The sequence below is a fragment of the Homo sapiens genome, chromosome 1 (genome assembly GCF_000001405.40).
Source record: "Homo sapiens chromosome 1, GRCh38.p14 Primary Assembly".
Lineage (NCBI taxonomy): Eukaryota > Metazoa > Chordata > Mammalia > Primates > Hominidae > Homo > Homo sapiens.
The window spans coordinates 36,518,880-36,537,738 of NC_000001.11; the positions used below are offsets into that span (position 1 = coordinate 36,518,880).

The 18,859-nt window shown below is 50.3% G+C and overlaps 4 annotated features.

Moving 5' to 3' along the window:
* Positions 4,728–5,228: an enhancer, noted in NCBI's record as "OCT4-NANOG-H3K4me1 hESC enhancer chr1:36989208-36989708 (GRCh37/hg19 assembly coordinates)". NCBI's record gives its function as "activates a minimal SCP1, AML or CMV promoter by ChIP-STARR-seq in naive and primed H9 embryonic stem cells {active_cell/tissue: H9 hESC(naive and primed)}" and the evidence as "EXISTENCE:reporter gene assay evidence [ECO:0000049][PMID:30033119]".
* Positions 5,229–5,729: an enhancer, noted in NCBI's record as "OCT4-NANOG-H3K4me1 hESC enhancer chr1:36989709-36990209 (GRCh37/hg19 assembly coordinates)". NCBI's record gives its function as "activates a minimal SCP1, AML or CMV promoter by ChIP-STARR-seq in naive H9 embryonic stem cells {active_cell/tissue: H9 hESC(naive)}" and the evidence as "EXISTENCE:reporter gene assay evidence [ECO:0000049][PMID:30033119]".
* Positions 15,506–16,006: an enhancer, noted in NCBI's record as "H3K27ac hESC enhancer chr1:36999986-37000486 (GRCh37/hg19 assembly coordinates)". NCBI's record gives its function as "activates a minimal SCP1, AML or CMV promoter by ChIP-STARR-seq in naive H9 embryonic stem cells {active_cell/tissue: H9 hESC(naive)}" and the evidence as "EXISTENCE:reporter gene assay evidence [ECO:0000049][PMID:30033119]".
* Positions 16,007–16,507: an enhancer, noted in NCBI's record as "H3K27ac hESC enhancer chr1:37000487-37000987 (GRCh37/hg19 assembly coordinates)". NCBI's record gives its function as "activates a minimal SCP1, AML or CMV promoter by ChIP-STARR-seq in naive H9 embryonic stem cells {active_cell/tissue: H9 hESC(naive)}" and the evidence as "EXISTENCE:reporter gene assay evidence [ECO:0000049][PMID:30033119]".

Sequence of the window (18,859 nt, forward strand, 5' to 3'; positions counted from 1 at the left end):
GTGAAGCTAGTCGGGGGAGGGCTGGTGCCAGCGCCACAATCCGTACAGGACGAATGAGTATCTCTTTCCCATCTGGATTTTATTATTTTTCAGTTTATCCTGGTCAAAAAACGCAAGATGAACGTCTGGAGGAAAAAATATATAATCTTTGAGAAAATTGAAAATATATATCATTGTTTGGGGTTGGGGGCTCAGGGGCCCTGGAGGTTGGCTCTCCCTGGCTTATTCCTGGGCCTGGCTCAGCCTGTCTTTGCACACAGCCTGATTGCAGGCTCCGGGGGATCTCCAGGGGAACTCCCTCCCAGACTTCGGGGCTCGGTCTGGGATCTGGTCTCGTGTGTGTGTGTGTGTGTGTGTGTGTGTGTGTGTGTGCGCGCGCGCTCACGTGCAGGGGCTGCTGGGGAGGAGAAGAGAGGTCTCAACTTCCTTCCCTGGGGATATGAGCATTTTCTGGATACTTCTGGAATCTCCAGATTGTTCCCTGTAGGAGAAATAGCCACTTCAGCCATAATAGCCAGGGTGTACCGAGGCTTTACTATGTACCAGATACTCTTCCAAGTACTTCCCATGTCTTCTAAGGACTTTTCATCTCTTTTATTCCTCACACAAACCCTGTATTTAGGTACCATCTTCTCCTTGTAGCTGAAGAAGCTTAGGTACAGAAAGCTTCAGAAACATGCCCAAGTTCACATAGCTGGGAAATTTCAACCATTCAAATCCAAGTAGTTGAATTCCAGAGTTCAGTTCTCAACCACGACTCTATAAAGCTTTTCTTCACTGGAAAGAGAAAAGGAAGAAGGCAGGGAGAGGGCGAGAATGTGCACATAGGAAGATGTGAACACGTCTAATGCGTGTCCCTGGGCTGGACTGTGTGTGGTACACAGCTGCAAGTGTCCTGCGTGTACTTGGCTGTAGTTTCATGTATCCACACCTTCATTACCCACCTACCCACTCATGTTCATCCATCTGTCGGCCCGTCCATCCATCATCTGTTTTTTTTTTTTGAAATAGGGTCTCACTCTGTCTCCCAAGCTGGAGTGCAGTGGTGCAGTCTTGGCTATCTGCAACCTCTGCCTCCCAGGTTCAAGCGATTCTCCTGCCTCAGTCTCCCGAGTAGCTGGGACTATAGGCGTGCATCCCCACACCCGGCTAATTTTTGTACTTTTAGTAGAGACGGTGTTTCACCATATTGGCCAGGCTGTTCACGAACTCCTGACCTCATGTGATTCGCCCGCCTCGGCCCCCTGAAGTGCTGGGATTACAGGCGTGAGCCACTGTGCCCCAGCCCATCATCAGTTTTTAAGTGTGGGGTCACAGGTGTGTGGCTACTTCCAGGTGTGTCTGTGCACATGCATGCATAATTGGAATGTGTGTGATGGGTGTCAGGACATATTCAGATGTACAGACCTGTGACCGCCTCCCACCCCCTCTCCCAAGGCTCTTCCCCCAAACCTGAAAAGCCACAGGATGGAGGAAGAGGCCCAGCCTCAGCAGGCCTGCCTTGGTCCCTGGCTCCCCTCCGAGCCCCAGCGGAGAGTTAATTAAATCCCTTTCCCAACAAGGGTGGTAATTAGTGCTAATGGTTCGGCTTCCACTCAGAGGCTGGAGAGGTTCCTGCTCCGTGTCTGTGTGTGTATGTGTGTTAGGGGGTGGGTAGCAGGGCCTTCTCAGTTCCAGAAACTTATGGGGTGTGGAGAGGGGCTTCTGAGAACTCCCCAGTCTTTTCCTGCTCCTGTCTCCTGATCTTACGGGCTCCAGGAGGCTGGGAGTGTGGTGGGTCTCCCGCCAGCCTGCCTGGGAAGAACCTGGTTGTGGTGCCCTTAGCTTGAGGCCTGTGGCTCTCTAGGAATCTGTTTGTGACTGAGGGTGTGCTTCTGTGTGTGTGTGTGTTTGTGTCTGTGCGCGTGCACAAGGGACACTCTGAACCATGCTGTGTGCATATAAATGACCATATATATAACAGTGATATATGAATGGTGCCCCCTGGAATTGTGCAATGTGGTAGCCCTGATTCACAGACCCCAAGTTGGCATGTCCATGATGTGTGCAATGACTCTGTGTTTCTGGGTGTCCTCTGTGTGTTTCGAGGTGTACCTGAAGGTGGGTGCCAGTGAGTGTGGGCCTATGTGTGTTTACATGTGACAAAATGCAAGGAGCAGCAGGGCCGCTGGCTTCTGGGGCCTGACTGACACCCCTTGCAAATAAATGTGACAATGAAATACAGTCCTGGAATTGCTTTGGATGCTCCGTCAAGCAGGCGACGCAGAATAGGTGAAGCTGTAAAGTGTTCCCTGGGGAGCTGTGTGGCTGAGTGACAGCCCCGTGCTGGCTCCTGCCTCTCTGCCTGGCTCTCCCTTGTGAGACCCTGGGGCTGAAGACACTCATCCTGACCACAGCCTGGAAGACTCGGGAGAACCGGCTTCCACAGCCTGTGAGGAGTGAAGGGCAGAGGGGACCTGGCAGGGCTCCATCCCTTCACCATTGTCTCATCGCTCTCTTCAGGTGGAGTGCCCAGAGTAGGGCTGTGTCCCATCCCCGTCATATGCACTCAGACTGGGCTCTCTCAGGACAGGGTCCTGTCTCCCCCCTCAGACTGGGCTGTCTCAGGACAGGGCCCTGTCTCCTCCCTCAGACTGGGATCTCTCAGGAAAGGGCCCTGTCTCCCCTCTCAGACTGGACTCTCTCAGGAAAGGGCCCTGTCTCCCCCCTCAGACTGGGCTGTCTCAGGACAGGGCCCTGTCTCCTCCCTCAGACTGGGATCTCTCAGGAAAGGGCCCTGTCTCCCCTCTCAGACTGGACTCTCTCAGGAAAGGGCCCTGTCTCCCTCCTCAGACTGGGCTCTCTCAGGACAGGGCCCTGTCTCCTCCCTCAGACTGGGCTCTCTTAGGAAAGGGCCCTGTCTCCCCTCTCAGACTGGGCTCTCTCAGGACAGGGCCATGTCTCCTCCCTCAGACTGGGCTCTCTCAGGACAGGGACCTGTCTCCCTTCTCAGACTGGGCTCTCTCAGGACGGGGTCCTGTCTCCCCCCTCAGACCCGGCTCTCTCAGGACAGGGTCCTGTCTCCTCCCTCAGACTGGGCTCTCTCAGGACAGGGTCCTGTCTTCCCCCTCAGACTGGGCTCTCTCAGGACAGGGTCCTGTCTCCTCCCTCAGACTGGGCTCTCTCACGACAGGGTCCTGTCTCCTCCCTCAGACTGGGCTCTCTCAGGACAGGGCCCTGTCTCCCCCCTCAGACTGGGCTTTCTCAGGACAGGGCCCTGTCTCCCCCCTCAGACTGGGTCTCCAGAGGGCAGAGTTCTGCCTTCCTCTCCGGGGCTCCCTTGAGTGGGGATGTTTCTCCTAAGATTGGGAGACCGCTCAAGAGAGGGCCGAGTCTCCCTGTGAGGCCCGAGCCCCTGAGCACCCTCCGCTTGGTTTATGCGTGTATCGCACACTCATGCATGCATATCTGGCTGCAGATTTGGAGGTTGCAGAGCTGTCTGCATGAGCCTTAGCTCTGGAGACCTGGGTTCAAATCCCACACCTGCTAACTTCATTAGCCATGATCTCAGGGAGGTAGTAACAGCTTCCACAAAGTCAGGGCACTGCTTAGGGCTCTGGTTAGGGGCTGACAGGACACTTTTTTCTTTTTTTTTCAATCACAAAAGTGCCTTCTGCTCGTTAAGCCATGTGCCCTCCCAGGTGGCACCTCATTCTAATAGTTAGGCCAGGGGTGCCTTGTTAAATTCTCCCCAAATAGCAGGGCAGGCTACCATGGCCCTGCACAGAGGGTGTGGCGTGCCGTGGAAAGTGCTTGCTCAGTGCCCGGCCTGCTTCCAGCACCCATGGAGCCAAACACCACCTCTGCCAGGTCTCCTGGTGGTGGCAGTGAGTGCCAGGGTCCTCTCTGGGTCTGCCAGCTGCATGGGGGACACTTTGGTATCTTTGTTTCACCCCTTTATCTTTTTGGGTGTCCACTTGTTCTTAGAGCCAGAGGTTGAAGTGTGTGTGTGTGTGCACATGTGCACAGGCAGGGGAGGTTGCAGAATGAAGTTTGCATGAGCCTTAGCTTTGGAGACCTGAGTTCAAATCCCACAGCTGCTAACTTCACTAGCTGTGACCTCAGTGAGGTAGTCACAGCCGTCCAGGGGAGGGCTGTGGAGAAGGCACAGAGAGAGACTATTCCTTTTCCTTGTCCGTCAAGCTAGGTCCTCTCGGTTCTCTGTCAGAGACGTCACGGGCCTTCCACCGCACGTTCTGGGACTCTTCCTGCATCTCTCTCTGTGCTCGGGGATTCTAGGTCATGTGCAGAGACTGTATACACACAGGGAAGCTCTTGCCATCTGTCTTGCCTCTCAAGCAGCAAGCCCCAGGAGGGGCTGTGGACTGGGACAAAACCTATCTCATCTCCTAAGGAGGCCACAACCTGTCCTCGGGCAGTGGGACCCCCACTGTAAAGAGCCTGCAAGGACTGTGAGCCCCATGAGAGCCCTGACCGTGGCTTCTTCATAGCGACATCCCTGCTTCCTCGCACTGAATAGCTGCTCAATAAATATTTGCTTCATGAGTGTGTTATGATACAGCATCCATCAGCATCTGTGGCTTCTAGCATTGTGTGTGTCATGACAAAAATTAAGGCTGAGATTGCATGGCTGCTGGTAGAATGTTCTGGAGCATTTATAGACAGGTAACATATCCCACGCGATAGGGGTCAGTCCTGGCTCCAGACTGATTAGCAAAGAAAGGTTTTCACACAACTTTTCTAAGCCCTAAAGAAACAAAAACTTCCATGTCTCCTTCTACCGATTTCATCTCCATCTCCATATGACTTTCTGGGCAGGAGAGACAGTTTGGAGCTATAACTTTTGCTCTTCATCCTGAAGTGTCTTGGCCCAACCTTGAATCTTCCAAATAGGCCAGCAGCTGACCTTTGACTTGAATATTCCTGAATTTGAGACTATGGATAACAGAGAGAGGGAAATGGACATGACCACTTCCCCTAACCATAGCCTTGCTTACAGACAAGGGTGTCATCATTAAGCCTCGGTCTGGAGGCCTCTAGATGGAACAGAGGTGTGTATTCTGGCCAATTTAGTCAGAACAAAGGGAAGCCATTATGCAAATGTCTGATCGTTTAAAACCGCTCTGGCTTTCCTGGAAGAGAATGGGGGAGGAAGCCACGTTTGAAAGTGTCTGCCCACGCCTAGGTCGCTGCTAATTTCATTTTAATATTACACCATTGTATGATGAATAACTACGTACCTCAACAGAGCGAAGGGAAGACAGAACGAAAGTGCTCACGGGGAGGCGGGGAGCAGAGGGGTCGATAGCACAGATGTTGGCTCTTCCGCTGAACAGCGGGCGGCCTCAGGCACAGGACTCGGCCACTCAGTGCCTCAGTTTCCTCATCTGTAAGACAAGAATGGCACTTCCAGGGCTTTTGAGTATGAAATGAGATTATGCATATACAGTGTTCAGTTCATCGTGGGGCAAAATATTAGCTAGTATTATATTGTTACATTCAGGTGTCTGCATGCATGTGTGTGTGTGATGAATGCTTTCGTGTGTGTGTTTGTGAGGAACATTTGTGTGTATTTGTGTATGTGATGAACACATGCATGTGTACATGGATATGTGTGTGTGTATGTGATGGATGACTCTGTGTGTGTATGTGACAGACACGTGTGTGTGTATGTCAGTAACACTGCCTGTGTGTGTGTCGTGATGGACTTATGTGTGCGCATGTGATGAATACCTGTGCGTATGGGTCTGTGATGTGTATGACACCTCCGTGTGTGTGTACACATGACAGGCACCCACGCGTGGGTGTGTATGTGATGGACAGCTGTGAGGGGCCAGCACGGGAGGATGTCTGTGCACGTGGAGGTATGAATGTGAAACAGTGCGTACTATTCACATAGTGAAATAGTGGAATAATGTGAAAGGGCAGAACATAAGCCAACAGCACGTGACTGAGAACTGGGTCCTGTGAGTCTGATTTCCATCTCTACCACACACTTAATATGTCTGTGACACTGAGCAGGCCCTGCTGCCTATTTTCTCATCTGCGAACTGTGATAAAAGTGATAGCGATAACTGTAGTGATGTTTAGTGAGTGCTTACTATGCGCCAGGATAACAAACCTCATTCTGGCTACTCCACAGGATCGGTATTAGATGCAAGGGTGGTGCAGAAGTGCTTTACACACCAAGACATCCTGGCACACAGGAAGGGAGGCCACTGTGGATGTGCACACGTGTGTGTGTGTGTGTGTGTGTGCAGAGCACAGCGTCTTTCTCTGTTTCAAGGCCGGGCTGAATGAACACACGCCTGTGTATGGACAACTGCACCCACCTGGGTGTCCATATGTACCCCCCCTACATGGCCACATCTGTGGTTTAATGTCATACCTGTGTTCACACATGTGCACCCAACTCAGTGCATGCTCACCTCCATGTCCCCACACGGCACATGTGCGGGCACGTGCAGCTCTGAGGCTGCACCTGTAATGAATGGTGGGCCCAGGCAGCCAGGGACAGTGAGTGAGGCCCAAGCCCCTGAGGTGGGCTTTCTGCTTAGCACTGATGAGATTAGAAAGTACTTATAAAAATTATCAGGGCACGGTGGCGGGCACCTGTAATCCCAGTTACTCGGGAGGCTGAAGCAGGAGGATGGCATGAACCCGGGGGGCGGAGCTTGCAGTGAGCCAAGATCGTGCCATTGCACTCCAGCCTGGGTGACAGAGTAAGACTCAGTCTAAAAAAAAAAAGAAAGTAACCCCACATCTGCGCTGAAGGAGCTGACCCTGAACCGGTAACTCCTAGACCCTCCAGCCCCTTTGCTAAGCAGGAATTCTCTCCATAACCCTCTGACAAGCACTTGCCAGGTTTTGTTTGTGCACTTCCAGTGATGGGGAGCTCATTTTCCCCCAGAGTGACCTTGACAAGATGCCCTTTCTGGCTGCTGCCCTGAGTTGGCCTCAAGTCATTTTGCCCATGGTTTCTCCTTCTGCCCTCTGCGGCCACACAGCAGCAAACCTGTTCCCATTTCTAAACTGTTTCCCCAGCCTCCTTTTTTGTTTTTTTTTGAGATGGAGTCTCACCCTGTCACCCAGGCTGGAGTGCAGTGGTGTGATCTTGGCTCACTGCAACCTCCACCTCCCGGGTTTAAGCAATTCTGCCTCAGTCTCCCGAGTAGCTGGGACTAGAGGCAAGCGCCACCCTGCTTGGCTAATTTTTCTTTTTTGTATTTTTAGTACAGATGGAGTTTCAACATGCTGGGCAGGCTGGTCTTGAACTCCTGACCTCATGCTCTGCCCGCCTCGGCCTCCCAAAGTGCTGGGATTACAGGCGTGAGCCACCACGCCCGGCCAGCTGTTTCCCTTTACCAGCAAGCCTCCACTACTTCTTTTGTCACATGAGTTGTAGCCCAGCCTATACAAGCGAGGCAGACTTTTAAAGAAAAATGTGAACAACTCTATTATTTCTCTTGATTTAAAAATGTAATACATGGTCATTAAAAAAATTCAGACAATACAGGAAAAGAAGAAGAAAGCAAAACCACCCATCACCCCAGCAACCAGAGATAACCAGGGTTCACGTTCTTTAATTTAATTTTTGAATAGGCAATACATTTGCAGGGTTCAAAATTAAAAATTATAAAAGGGTATTATTCAGTAAAAAAATTTCCTCCCACATCTCTGTTCTCTGGCCTTAGTTTCCCTCCCCACAGATTTAAAAAGTCTTTAATTTCTTATGTATATTTCCAGACGTATTTTAAGATATGGAAGGCTATTTTAAGATCTTTTAAGATATTATGTTTATTTTAAAAGATTTTAAATAAATTATTGTTATTATTATTATTATTATTTCTTTTTTTTTGAGACGGAGTCTCGCTCTGTCGCCCAGGCTGGAGTGCAGTGGCGCGATCTTGGCTCACTGCAAGCTCTGCCTCCCGGGTTCACACCATTCTCCTGCCTCAGCCTCCCGAGTAGCTGGGACTACAGGCGCCCACCACCACGCCCGGCTAATTTTTTTTATTTTTAGTAGAGACGGGGTTTCACTGTTTTAGCCAGGATGGTCTCGATCTGCTGACCTCGTGATCTGCCCACCTCGGCCTCCCAAAGTGCTGGGATTACAGGCGTGAGCCACTGCGCCCGGCCCTGTTATTATTTTTTGAGATGGAGTCTTGCTCTGTTGCCCAGGCTGGAGTGCAATGGCATTACCTTGGCTCACGGCAACGGCATTACCTTGGCTCACTGCAACCTCTGCCTCCCAGGTTCAAGTGATTCTCCTGCACAGGAGGCCTCCTGGATAGCTGGGATCACAGGTATGCACCACCACACTGAGCTAATTTTTTGTATTTTTAATAGAGATGGAGTTTCCCTATGTTGGCCAGGCTGGTCGCAAATTCCTGGCCTTAAGTGATCCACCCACATCGGCCTCCCAAAGTGCTGAGATTACAGGCTTGAGCCACTGTGCCCGGCCTAAAGGCTATCTTAACGCACACATGGACTCCCTCTTTCTCTCTCTCTCTCTCTCTTCCCTCCCCAGCCCTCACTTGTGGTTGCCCCCTTGTTTGCTAAACAGTATATGGCTGAACTCTCTTTTTTCTTTTTTTTGAGATGGAGTCTTGCTTTGTTGCCCAGGCTGGAGTGCAGCAGCGCGATCTTGGCTCACCACAACCTCCGCCTCCTGGGTTCAAGCGATTCTTCTGCCTCAGCCTCCTGAGTAGCTGGGACTAGAGATGCATGCACCACGCCTGGTTAGTTTTTGTATTTTTAGTAGAGACGGGGTTTCACTATGTTGGCCAGGCTGGTCTCAGTCTCCTGACCTCATGATCTGCCTGCCTCGGCCTCCCAAAGTGCTGGGATTACAGGCATGAGCCACCACGGCCGGCCAGAACTCTCTTTCTGTCGGTTTTCAGAGGGCAGACTGTTTACCTGCTGCTGTTTCCCTTCATGCTCTTGGTCTAAATGCATTGTTCTGGACTTTGGGGGTCATTTTCCATTCTTCTGTTGGCCCTTCCAGCTTAATGGCATCTTTTCATCTTCAGATGTATTTGTCATGCAAATCCGCAACGACCCTTTCCAATGACACCGCCTCTGAACCATTTAATCAACACACAGCACAGCTTCAATCAACATATGATCATATTTTACCCAGCCTGCATTTTACAGAAATCAACATTGCTCTCTCGGGAGAGTGCCAAATGCGTTTCTGAAATGTCTCTAGTGCTCTTGGACTCATCATTCCAGAAATGTTGTTCGAAGTGGACATTAGCAGGATGTAACCTTTTAAAGTGAACCACTGTTGATTCCTGGTGATTTCTCTTTTCTCCCTGAGGTGTTAACAAATGACGATGATCACCCAAAGGTGAACACAGCGAGTGCTCTCCACCTGCCAGGCAAGGTTTCCAAATCTTTACATACGTTATGTTGTTTACCCCGGCAAACAACCTTATGAGGAAGGTACTATTGCCATTCTCAATTTACAGGTAAGGAAACACTCTCAGAGAGGTGAAGTAACTTGCCCGAGGCCGTACAGCTTGTAGGAGGCAGAGCCATGTTGCTTTGCTAGTGTTATCACATCAGCAGAATAATGTGCTGCAGAGTTCTACCAGGGACTGGCCTGAAGGTTCTGCCCCAGGCACGACCACCATCTTGTAGGGCCTGCTTGGCACAGTGATCCAGGCCTCTTGATGGAGTCTCCTCTTCACTGGGCTCCAGAGGGCGCTTCACTCTCTGAATGGCCCACACTCCTCCCTGGTGAATCTTCTTAGGGCAGTTTTGTGGAAAGAGTTTTAATTCACTGGAACTGCAGCAGCAGGTGTGAGTCTGGCAGTCACAGCCAACAGGACTTATGGGGACTGGGGATAGTGTAGTAAAGGGTAATGATTAAGAGTACAGGCTCAGGGTGAGGCCTCATGGATTCCAGATGGATTCCATCCCTTCCTGCTGTGTGTCCTTGGACAAGTTACTTAACCTCTCTGAACTCCAGTCTCTACATCTCTACAGTGGGGAGAATTACAGACGATGTGTGGAAAATGGCCAGTGTCAAGGAGGTGCTCTGTAAATGCACCATCATCCCAGCCTCATTTGTCAGACTTCAGTGGCCTGGACCCCCTCTCTTACCAATTTCCTCAATTAGTTTCTCTCCAGTGGCACAGTTCAGGTTCTGGACTGGGCAGGGCGTTGCTGGTGCTGGATAGGTGGGTGGGCTTGGTTACTGGCCACCCTTGAGGTTACTGGTGTGGGTTGGGGTGGGACAGCCAGAGACCCATGCAGTGACAGATGGGGGAGCTGAGACCTGGAGAGAGGAAGTCTGCGTTGGCCTGCTCTGTCCTCTGAGGAAGGGGGGTTCCCTGGCCCCTTCCAAAGGAGACTGGTTCCCAGATGCACCCCTGCTGGCACTGTGACTGTGTGGTCTTTTTGGGCTTCTGTGTCTGTCCTGTGGAGACACTGGCCTTTTGCCTGGCCCCTTCTCAGACCAGGGGATCCCTTGGAAGGAACCACATGTCCCTCAGACTAGACTCCTCCAGCCTTGACTTTACCTCCATTCAGACCAGGGCCTCCAATGACAAGGCCTCTCCCCTCAACAGAGCCTTCCAGAACATGTGCAAGGCTGCCCCCTCTGACAGGGGCTATTCCAGGGCAGGGCTGTGCTGTCCCTGTCAGAATGGGGGGTGCCCAAAGAGAGGCTGTGCCTCCCCAGACCAGGACATGAGTTGGGTCTTCCCCCTTAGGAAGCTCCTTGAGGGTCAGAAATGTATCTCTCCCTTCACGGTTGAGATGCTCAAAGAGAGGTTGTAGCTTCTCCTCCACAATCTGGGGCTCTCCAGAGACAAGGGTTGTGTCTTCCTCAGAGGAACTGGGGTTCCCCTGGGATCAACTTGTGTCTCCTCCCTCAGACTAGACCTCCCCAGCCTGTTACCTCTGGGCTGGACTGTCTCTTCCCTCAGACTAGGGCTCCCAGGGTGGGGCATTTGTTGCCCTGTGGCTGCTCCCCCATGCCCTGGCCGAAAGTTCAGTGCCAGGCAAGTAATTGAATTCTTGCACATTAACAAGTCAATTACGGAGTCTTAATGAGTCCTGAGTAATCTCAGACCTGCATGTTAATTGAATAGCTGTCCCGGTTCTAATCCACTGGAAGTTAATCATTAGGGAATTAGGAAATGTCAGCTGGGAACTTCATTAAGCTAGTGAGGGTGGGTTCTGGCTGGGAAAGAGAGGGATCCAGGGATGCAGTGATGGAGGAGAGTCCTGAGTCATAGGATGGGGTGGCCCATCAGGGGGTGGGGGTGGGGCACATGGCTGCAGGGTCCCAACCTCCTCTGAAGATCAGGGTCAGGAGTGACCCCACCCTGAGTCCTGGGAAGAACCCCTACTTCCCCTGTTCCTCATCCCCGGGCTGGTCCTGCACAGGCCTCCCCGCCCCCGCCCTGCCTCAGTCTCCAGTCCAGGAAAGCCCAGGAAGAGGCAACAATGCCCAGAAAGTGCTGAGTGCACAGCAGGGCGGGCACGGGAGGGCTCAGAAGCAGGAATTCCCTCACCCTTCCTGGGTTTGCCACACCCCTGCCCTGCCGCCAGCTCTCCTACCCCTCCTCTGCCCTGCTGTGTACCCCGGGAGGCAGAACCTGTGGAGGGCAGAGCCCCCTCTGGCTTCCAGTTGGGTCTGGCTAATGGGAGGCTTCTGTGAGGGGGCAGCCCAAGGCTTCCCCATCCCTGTTGCCCCTTTAACCCTGCCCACACCTCTGCAACCAGGGCAGGTGTGAAACCCTCTCTCTGGAGCCCTGAGCAGTCTGTTCCCAGCCAGAGCCCTGATTAACACACCTGCCAGAATGATCCTGAGCCAGGGAAGGGTGTGTGTGTGTGTGTGTGTGTGTGTGTGTGTGTGTGTGTGTGTGGTGTGGTGGGGGGGATGGGCTGGGGGCAATGCTAATTGGATACAGCCTCGCCCAGTATGAGGGCAGGTGCCCACCAGGGGCCTGGCATCTCCGTGTCCAGTGAGGAGGCAGCAGCAGGCTGGGGTTGGAGTTTGGAGGCCACACCTGGGACAACACTCCAGGTGAATTCCGGGCAGAATGCTTCGCCCTGACTGGCATCTGGCCTCGGAGTCCTGAAAAGTCCCATTAGGAGGAAGCTTTGGGTTCCAAGTGTTGGGCAGAGAGAAATCTTGATTTATACAAAGACTTGGGCTGGGCTCTGGGCTGTAACTGGGAAGCTGGGCAATTCTGGTGATGCGACTTGGGATGAGAGATGGGGCCTTGGGCTCTAAGAGTTGGGGGTCCTGGGGTCAGAGGTCTGTGCAGTAGTGAGCTCTGGATGGGTTGGTGGGTGTTTCATCCAGGGTTCTCCAGAGGAACAGAACCAATAATTCCAACTGGTTATGTAAGTATAAACAATTACTTTTTTTTTTTTTTGAGATAGAGTCTTGCTCTGTCGCCCAGGCTAGAGTGCAGTGGCGTGATCTCGGCTCACTGCAACCTCTGCCTCCCAGCTCCAAGAAATTCTCCTGCCTCAGCCTCCTGAGTAGCTGGGATTACAGGTCCCTGCCACCATGCCCAGCCAATTTTTGTATTTTTAGCAGAGACAGGGTTTCACCATGTTGGCCAGGCTGGTCTCAAACTCCTGACCTCAGGCGATCCACCCGCCTCGGTCTTCCAAAGTGCTGGGATTACAGGCGTGAGCCACTGCGCCTGGCCCCAATTACTTATAATAAATCTTTTTATATATAATATATATTATACATAGAGATTATTTTATATATAATAAAAATACATAAGAGATTATTTTATGTATAGACATATATAATATAAAATATAAATATATAGAGGTACATAAAGAGACATATAAAGATATACGTAATCATATATGTAAAAATATTTATTATAAGTAATTGACTTGTGTGATTATGGAGAGTAAGAATCCCCAAGATCTGCAGTCAGCAGGCTGGAGACCCAGGAGAGATGATGGTATAGTTCCAGTTTGAAAGCTGGAAGGCTCAGAAAAAACCAACCAAACAAAAACAAAGCAGAGAAAGCTAGTGTTTTAGTTGGAGTCTGAAGGCAGGAAAAGACCCACGTCCCAGTTCTAGACAGTTGGGTAGGAGTTCCCTCTAACTTGAGGAAGAGGCAGACTTTTTGTTTTCTTCAGGCCTTCAACTGATTAGATTCGGCCCACCACACTGGGGAGGGCAATCTGCTTTACTCAGCATGATGTTGTGAAATACAGATTTGCTCTTCATCCAGCTTCCTGGCACACACGTCTAAAACCCTTGGAATCTCTTAGGTGATAGGTGCCTCCTTGAATGCTAATGAGATGTCTTGTGGCTGGGGGTTCAGACACTGATAGCCTCAGGATGGAGGCTGGTTGCCACGGAACCAACCACATGATTGGAAGGTTGGCATTTTCAGTCCCATCTCCAACCTCCTGGGAATGGGAGAGGGGCTGAAGGTTGAGTTGATCACCAGTGGCCAATGATTTACTCAATCATGCCTAAGTAATGAAGTCTCTATAAAGGCTCAAAACGACAAGGTGTGGGGAGCTTGCAGACAGCTGAACATGTGAAGGATGGTGCACCTGGGAGGGCATGGAAGCTTTGCAGCCCTTCCCACATGCCTTGTCCTATGAATCTCTTCCATCTGCCTGTTCATCTCCTGTGTAATATACTTTATAATAGATCAGTAAACATAAGTAAGGTATTTGCCTGAATTCTGTGAGTTACTCTAGCAAATTAAACCTGAGGAGGGGACTGTGGGAACCTTGATTTATGGCTTTTTGGTCAGAAGCACAGATGAAACGATCTGGGGCTTGCAATTGACATCTGGAGTTCAGGCAGTCTTGTAGGACTGAGCTTTTAACCTGTGGGATCTGACACTGTCTCCAGGTAGATGGTGTCAGAATTGAATTGAATAAGAGGACTCCACTGCAGAAATGGTTGTGTGTGGGGATTTTTGATGCCAGAGGTGCAGTGTTCTGTGTTAAGAGTATTTTGTTAACTGTGTGTGAGAGTAGAAAACACAGTTTGGTTTTTTCCTATCTCAGACACTCAGTCTACCAGCTAAAATGTTAATCTCATTAAGAAAACACCTACCTTTCCACCCCCACACACCCAGAATAATGTTTGACCAAATATCTGGGCACCCTATGGCTCAGTCAAGTTAACACATGAAATTAACCATCACAGTGGGTCACTCCAGGCTTTGAGCAATGAGAGTAAAAGTCCTTCCCAATTCAGCAGTCTCCAAAAGTTGGGCAGAGAAGAAAAGCCTGGCCCAGGAAGGATCCTAAAGCCAGTGACCACCACTGCCCACTGCATACCCCATCTCTGGCCCCCTGTGTTCAACCCCGACTTAGCCCTGGGGGCAGGTGCATTGGAAGATATAGGTGGTCAGTTCCTGCTCTCATGGTCTGGGAAGCTATGGAAGGAGAAGTCATCTGGGATCCCCCATTCTCTAAGGCTCCAGCTGTGAATCTGGGTAATATGCATGCCCCTTTATCCCAGCATTCACGTGCGTTTTTCCCTAGTCAGTTTTCTTTACCCTGGACTGGACAAGTTGAGGTTTTGAACAGCTATTCTGGGCTTAGAATGTGGCCCCATCAAGTGTCTGGGTCTCTATGGTGGGTTAAAGATGGCCATGCATTCTTTGCCACTCCTTCCATAAGAGGTGGAATGTATTTTCTTTCTCTTTGAATTTAAGCTGGCCTCTGACAGCTTTTACCAATAACAAAAGTGATGCCGTGTAATTTCTATGGCCAAATCTTATGAGATCTGCGACTTCTACTTTTGTTGCTTGTAACACTTGCTCTTAGAAGGCAGCTGCCATGTAAGAAGGCTGACTATCCTACTGCCATATTGTGAGGAAGCCTAAGCTAGCCACATGGAATGAGAGAGACCATGTGGAACAACTTTGAGGCACTAGACAAATGAATGAGATCTCCTTGACCTTCCAGCCGAATCCACTTGTCAGCTGAATGCCGCCAGTAAATATCCCAGCTGAACTCACACACAGCAGAAACACCACTCTGCTACCAGATAACTTGGTGTATTGGGACTTCTGTGAGGCCAGCACTGGCAGTCCCAACTGGGACATGGCTATCATAGCCAAATGGTGATTCTCAGACCACTGCCAACATGCACTGTTGTTGCGGGCGTATTTTTCTCTCCCCTGGGGATATAATTAGGGTAACTTTTCTGGCTATATCCAAGCTGTGGCTATATCCACGTGTGGATGACTTGGATCCACATGTGATGACCCATGCAGCCTGAGCCTAGCATAGGGTGCTTCACCAGACAAAGAGTCATCAAAAGTTTTCTTTTCTCACCACCTCCATTTTGTGATCCTATTCCCATAGGAGATCATGAGGTTTTGTGTTAAAAGCGCTCTGCAATCCATGTACCTGAAGATTGTAGCTTTGCCTGATGGCTGGGTGGCTCCAAAATAGCAAATGCAAGTCACTGGCTGAGCTGTGGTCACAGCGTCTCAGAGTCCTCGCAGTCAAGCTCTTTGATCCACTTTGGAGTTTGCTGGGGCTTTGCGGGATTAACTTCTCTCTCTTCTGGGCTCCCACGGTGCTCTGTGGGAACATCTATTTCTGCTTATTTTATTCTCTGGTCTTCTCCCATCAACTCGTATGTGCCCATCAACTTCCCTGGCCCAAAGCTGGGGGGAAGAGTGATGGCTGGCTCCCTTTAGTCATGGATTTTTAGCTGAGCTCTGGCACCTCGATGTTGGTAGGGACTCTTCCCTACCCTGAGCCTGATGGCTAAGGTTGCTATTTCACCAGGCCAGCTCACTGCCTTGAAATGTTTTAAAGCCAATCTCTCATTCTGTATGGATTTCCCACCACAGCCTTGATTGGATCCTTGTTCGAATTTGGTTTGTCCTAGTTGATGACTTTAAGGGGCCATCAGCAGTGTCTCTGTGAGCAACACTTGGTTTTGTCTCTCCCAAAGTCCCCAGCACACTCTGGGCCTATGCAAGGTGGCAAATGTGCCCTTGTGGGCGAGGTCGTTGCTGATGCTGATGGTGCCAAGGACTGTAAGCCCCTGGCCTATGGTTTCTAGAATCCATGTCCCTTTGGGAGAGCCAGAGTTGCATCTGCAGCCCCATATGAGAAGGCCACCACCCGTTCCAGGCTTGAGTCCTTTTGCTGCTGACACCAGCCATGCTTGAGCCTGCACGCACTCAGACCCGAGACTGCATTCATCTGGCTTGGGGAGAGGAGCTCATTTCCAGCTGCACTTTCTACCTGAGCTTCCATCTTTCCTCTCTCCTGGTCACGTTTGTTTGTTCAGCCCTGTGTAGATTGGGCAGTTAGGGCAGCTGTGAGTCAGACAGAAGCAGAGTGGCTTTCTCTGTGCTGTGGAGGACAAGCACGCTGGCCCCGGGCACGGCCCGCTGGGTCACCCAGCTTAGCCTGGTATGCCTTCCCAGCGAACTAACCTGCTGCTTATCTAGAGTTCCTGCTAAGAGGCCAGGAGATCCCAGTTCTCTAGTTTTTAAAAAGAAATCTGCCTTTCAACAGGCAATCAGCCAGTCTTCCTGAGTTTGAATTCTGTCTCTATCTCTCTCTACTGAGAGAGGTTGAGTGATTTCAGACAACCTCTCTGTGCCTCAGTTTCCTCCTCTATACAACTGGGAGAATAACAACACCCATTTCATAGGACAGGCAATGAGAACAGTGCCTGGCAGCTAAGTTCTCAATAAATGTTATTCTCCCTGAAGGCCAGCTTCTAGATCTATGTCCATAATGGTCTGTTTTCTACCTGCTTTCTTCCCTTCTTCTCTTCTTTTTTTAAAATTTTTATTTTTTTTCACCATGTTGCCCAGGCTGGTCTCACACCCCTGGGCCCAAGAGATCCACCCGCCTCGGTCTCCCAAAGTGCTGGGATTATAGGCGTGAGCCATCGCACCTGGCCTCTTTTATCCCTTCTTTTCTTCCTCATACAACTATTTAATAATAATGATGATGATTCTGTACCTTCTCCTTGTTGCCAGATTGGGGATCTTGGAGCGAAGGGCACCAGGTCCCTGTCCTGTGTATTTACAGGGCAATTGCAGGCAGTGGGCTGTGGAGAAGTAAATGATGTGCCTAGGGCAGGTGGAGCACAGAGGCAGGTGGCTAAGGGCTGCAGACATTTATGGGAAGGCCTTCATTGTTTATGGGAAGCTCCATAGAGTGAGTAGATTTTGAGCTTGTCCTTAAGGGCTTCCTTAGGTTAAGGTGAGTAGGGAGGTGACAGGTGACTGTAGGCAGAAAGAACAGGAGGTGGGGAACTACGGCAGGTGTCAAGAGCAACTACATAGAATAGAAGACACCAAGCTAGTGGACAGTTTGGGAGCGGGTCTGAAGGACCTTGAATACCACGTTAAAAATGTGGCTTTTACTCCCACTCTTTGGGGAGTCCTTGCAGGCTCTTGAGCAGACAGGGAACAGGGTCACAGTAGGGATCTGAGAAGGTGAATCTGGCATGTGGGAAGGATGGAGGTGGGCTGGAGGGGAGTTTGATCAAGGGCTTCCTGTGCTGGAACAGAGGTCTAAGGGGTGGGCCCAGAGGAAGCTCCTGCTGTGGTTTGAATAGTTATCCCCTCCATACTCATGTTGAAATTTAATTCCCAGTGTAGCAGTATTGAGAGATGGGACATTTAAGAGGTGATTGGGTCATGATGGTTCTGTTCTCATGAATGGATTAATCCATTCATGGATTAACAGATTAATGGATTATCATGAGAGTGGAACTGGTGGCTTTATAAGAAAAGGAAGAGAGATCTGGGCTAGCACCTCAGCCCCCTTGCCATGTGATACCCTGTGCTACCTTGGGACTCTACATAGAGTCCCCACCAGCAAGAAGACCCTCACCAGATGTGAGGACCTTGGATTTCTCATAACTGAAATAAATAAATTCCTTTCTTTTATACATTTTGCAGTTTTAGGTATTCTAAGTAGCAGAAGACAAACTAAGGCACTCACCCTTGCTGCTTCCAGGCCCACCGGGGGCTCCTGGCCTTCTGTCTGTGTGTGGGGGCTGGGTTGGAGTCATTCTACCAGTGGAAAGAAAACTGGATGGCAGGCCCTTGGGTGGGGCTGGGGGATTTGGGCCATGGTGCTGGCTGAGGGGCCACTGGGAGAGTGCCCTGTGGGCCAGGTCTCTGCAGGCTGATAAGGGACAATTCCTGCTTGGCTCAGAAGGAACACCTCCTTCTGACTTCTTGCTTTGGGGTGTGCAGATGTGCTGGGTTTTGATGGCACTTGTGTCCATTGTGCATGTCTGCATAACTGAGTGTGCACATGGATTAAGTTTTTGCTCCCATATGAGAGCAAAAACTTAACCCATGAGCACACTGACAGGGTTTTTCTAATCTCTGTATCCCCAGTGCCAGACTTAAGGGTGTCTATATATGGTTTTTCAATGAAGAAATGAATATTGAACTTACCTAAGCCTTATGCTAGCCCTTGGAGGTAGTTACTCTTGTTATCCTCATGCAGAGATAAGGAAACACGTTCAGAGAAGTTAAGCAACTTGCTCAAGGCCACAGAAATGGTAAGGTACTCAGCCGGTTTGCAAAGCCAGGCAGTCTGTATGAAAGTCTGTGTCAATATGTATAATAATGGCAGCACACACTTATTATTATGTGCCAGATACTGTTCTATGTTCTTCTATTACAGATTAACTCATTTAATCCTCACAACAACCCATGATGAGTAAATTGAGGTTCAGAGAGGAGAGTAAACTAGCCCAAGGTCACACAGCAATGAGAAAAATGAGAAACAGAATTGAGATTTTAACCCAGGTTAGTCTGCCTTCAGAGGTTTCACTTTTCACTGGCAGACTCCATTGTCCCACAGGTGTAAGCATGTTTGTGTGTGCACACATGTG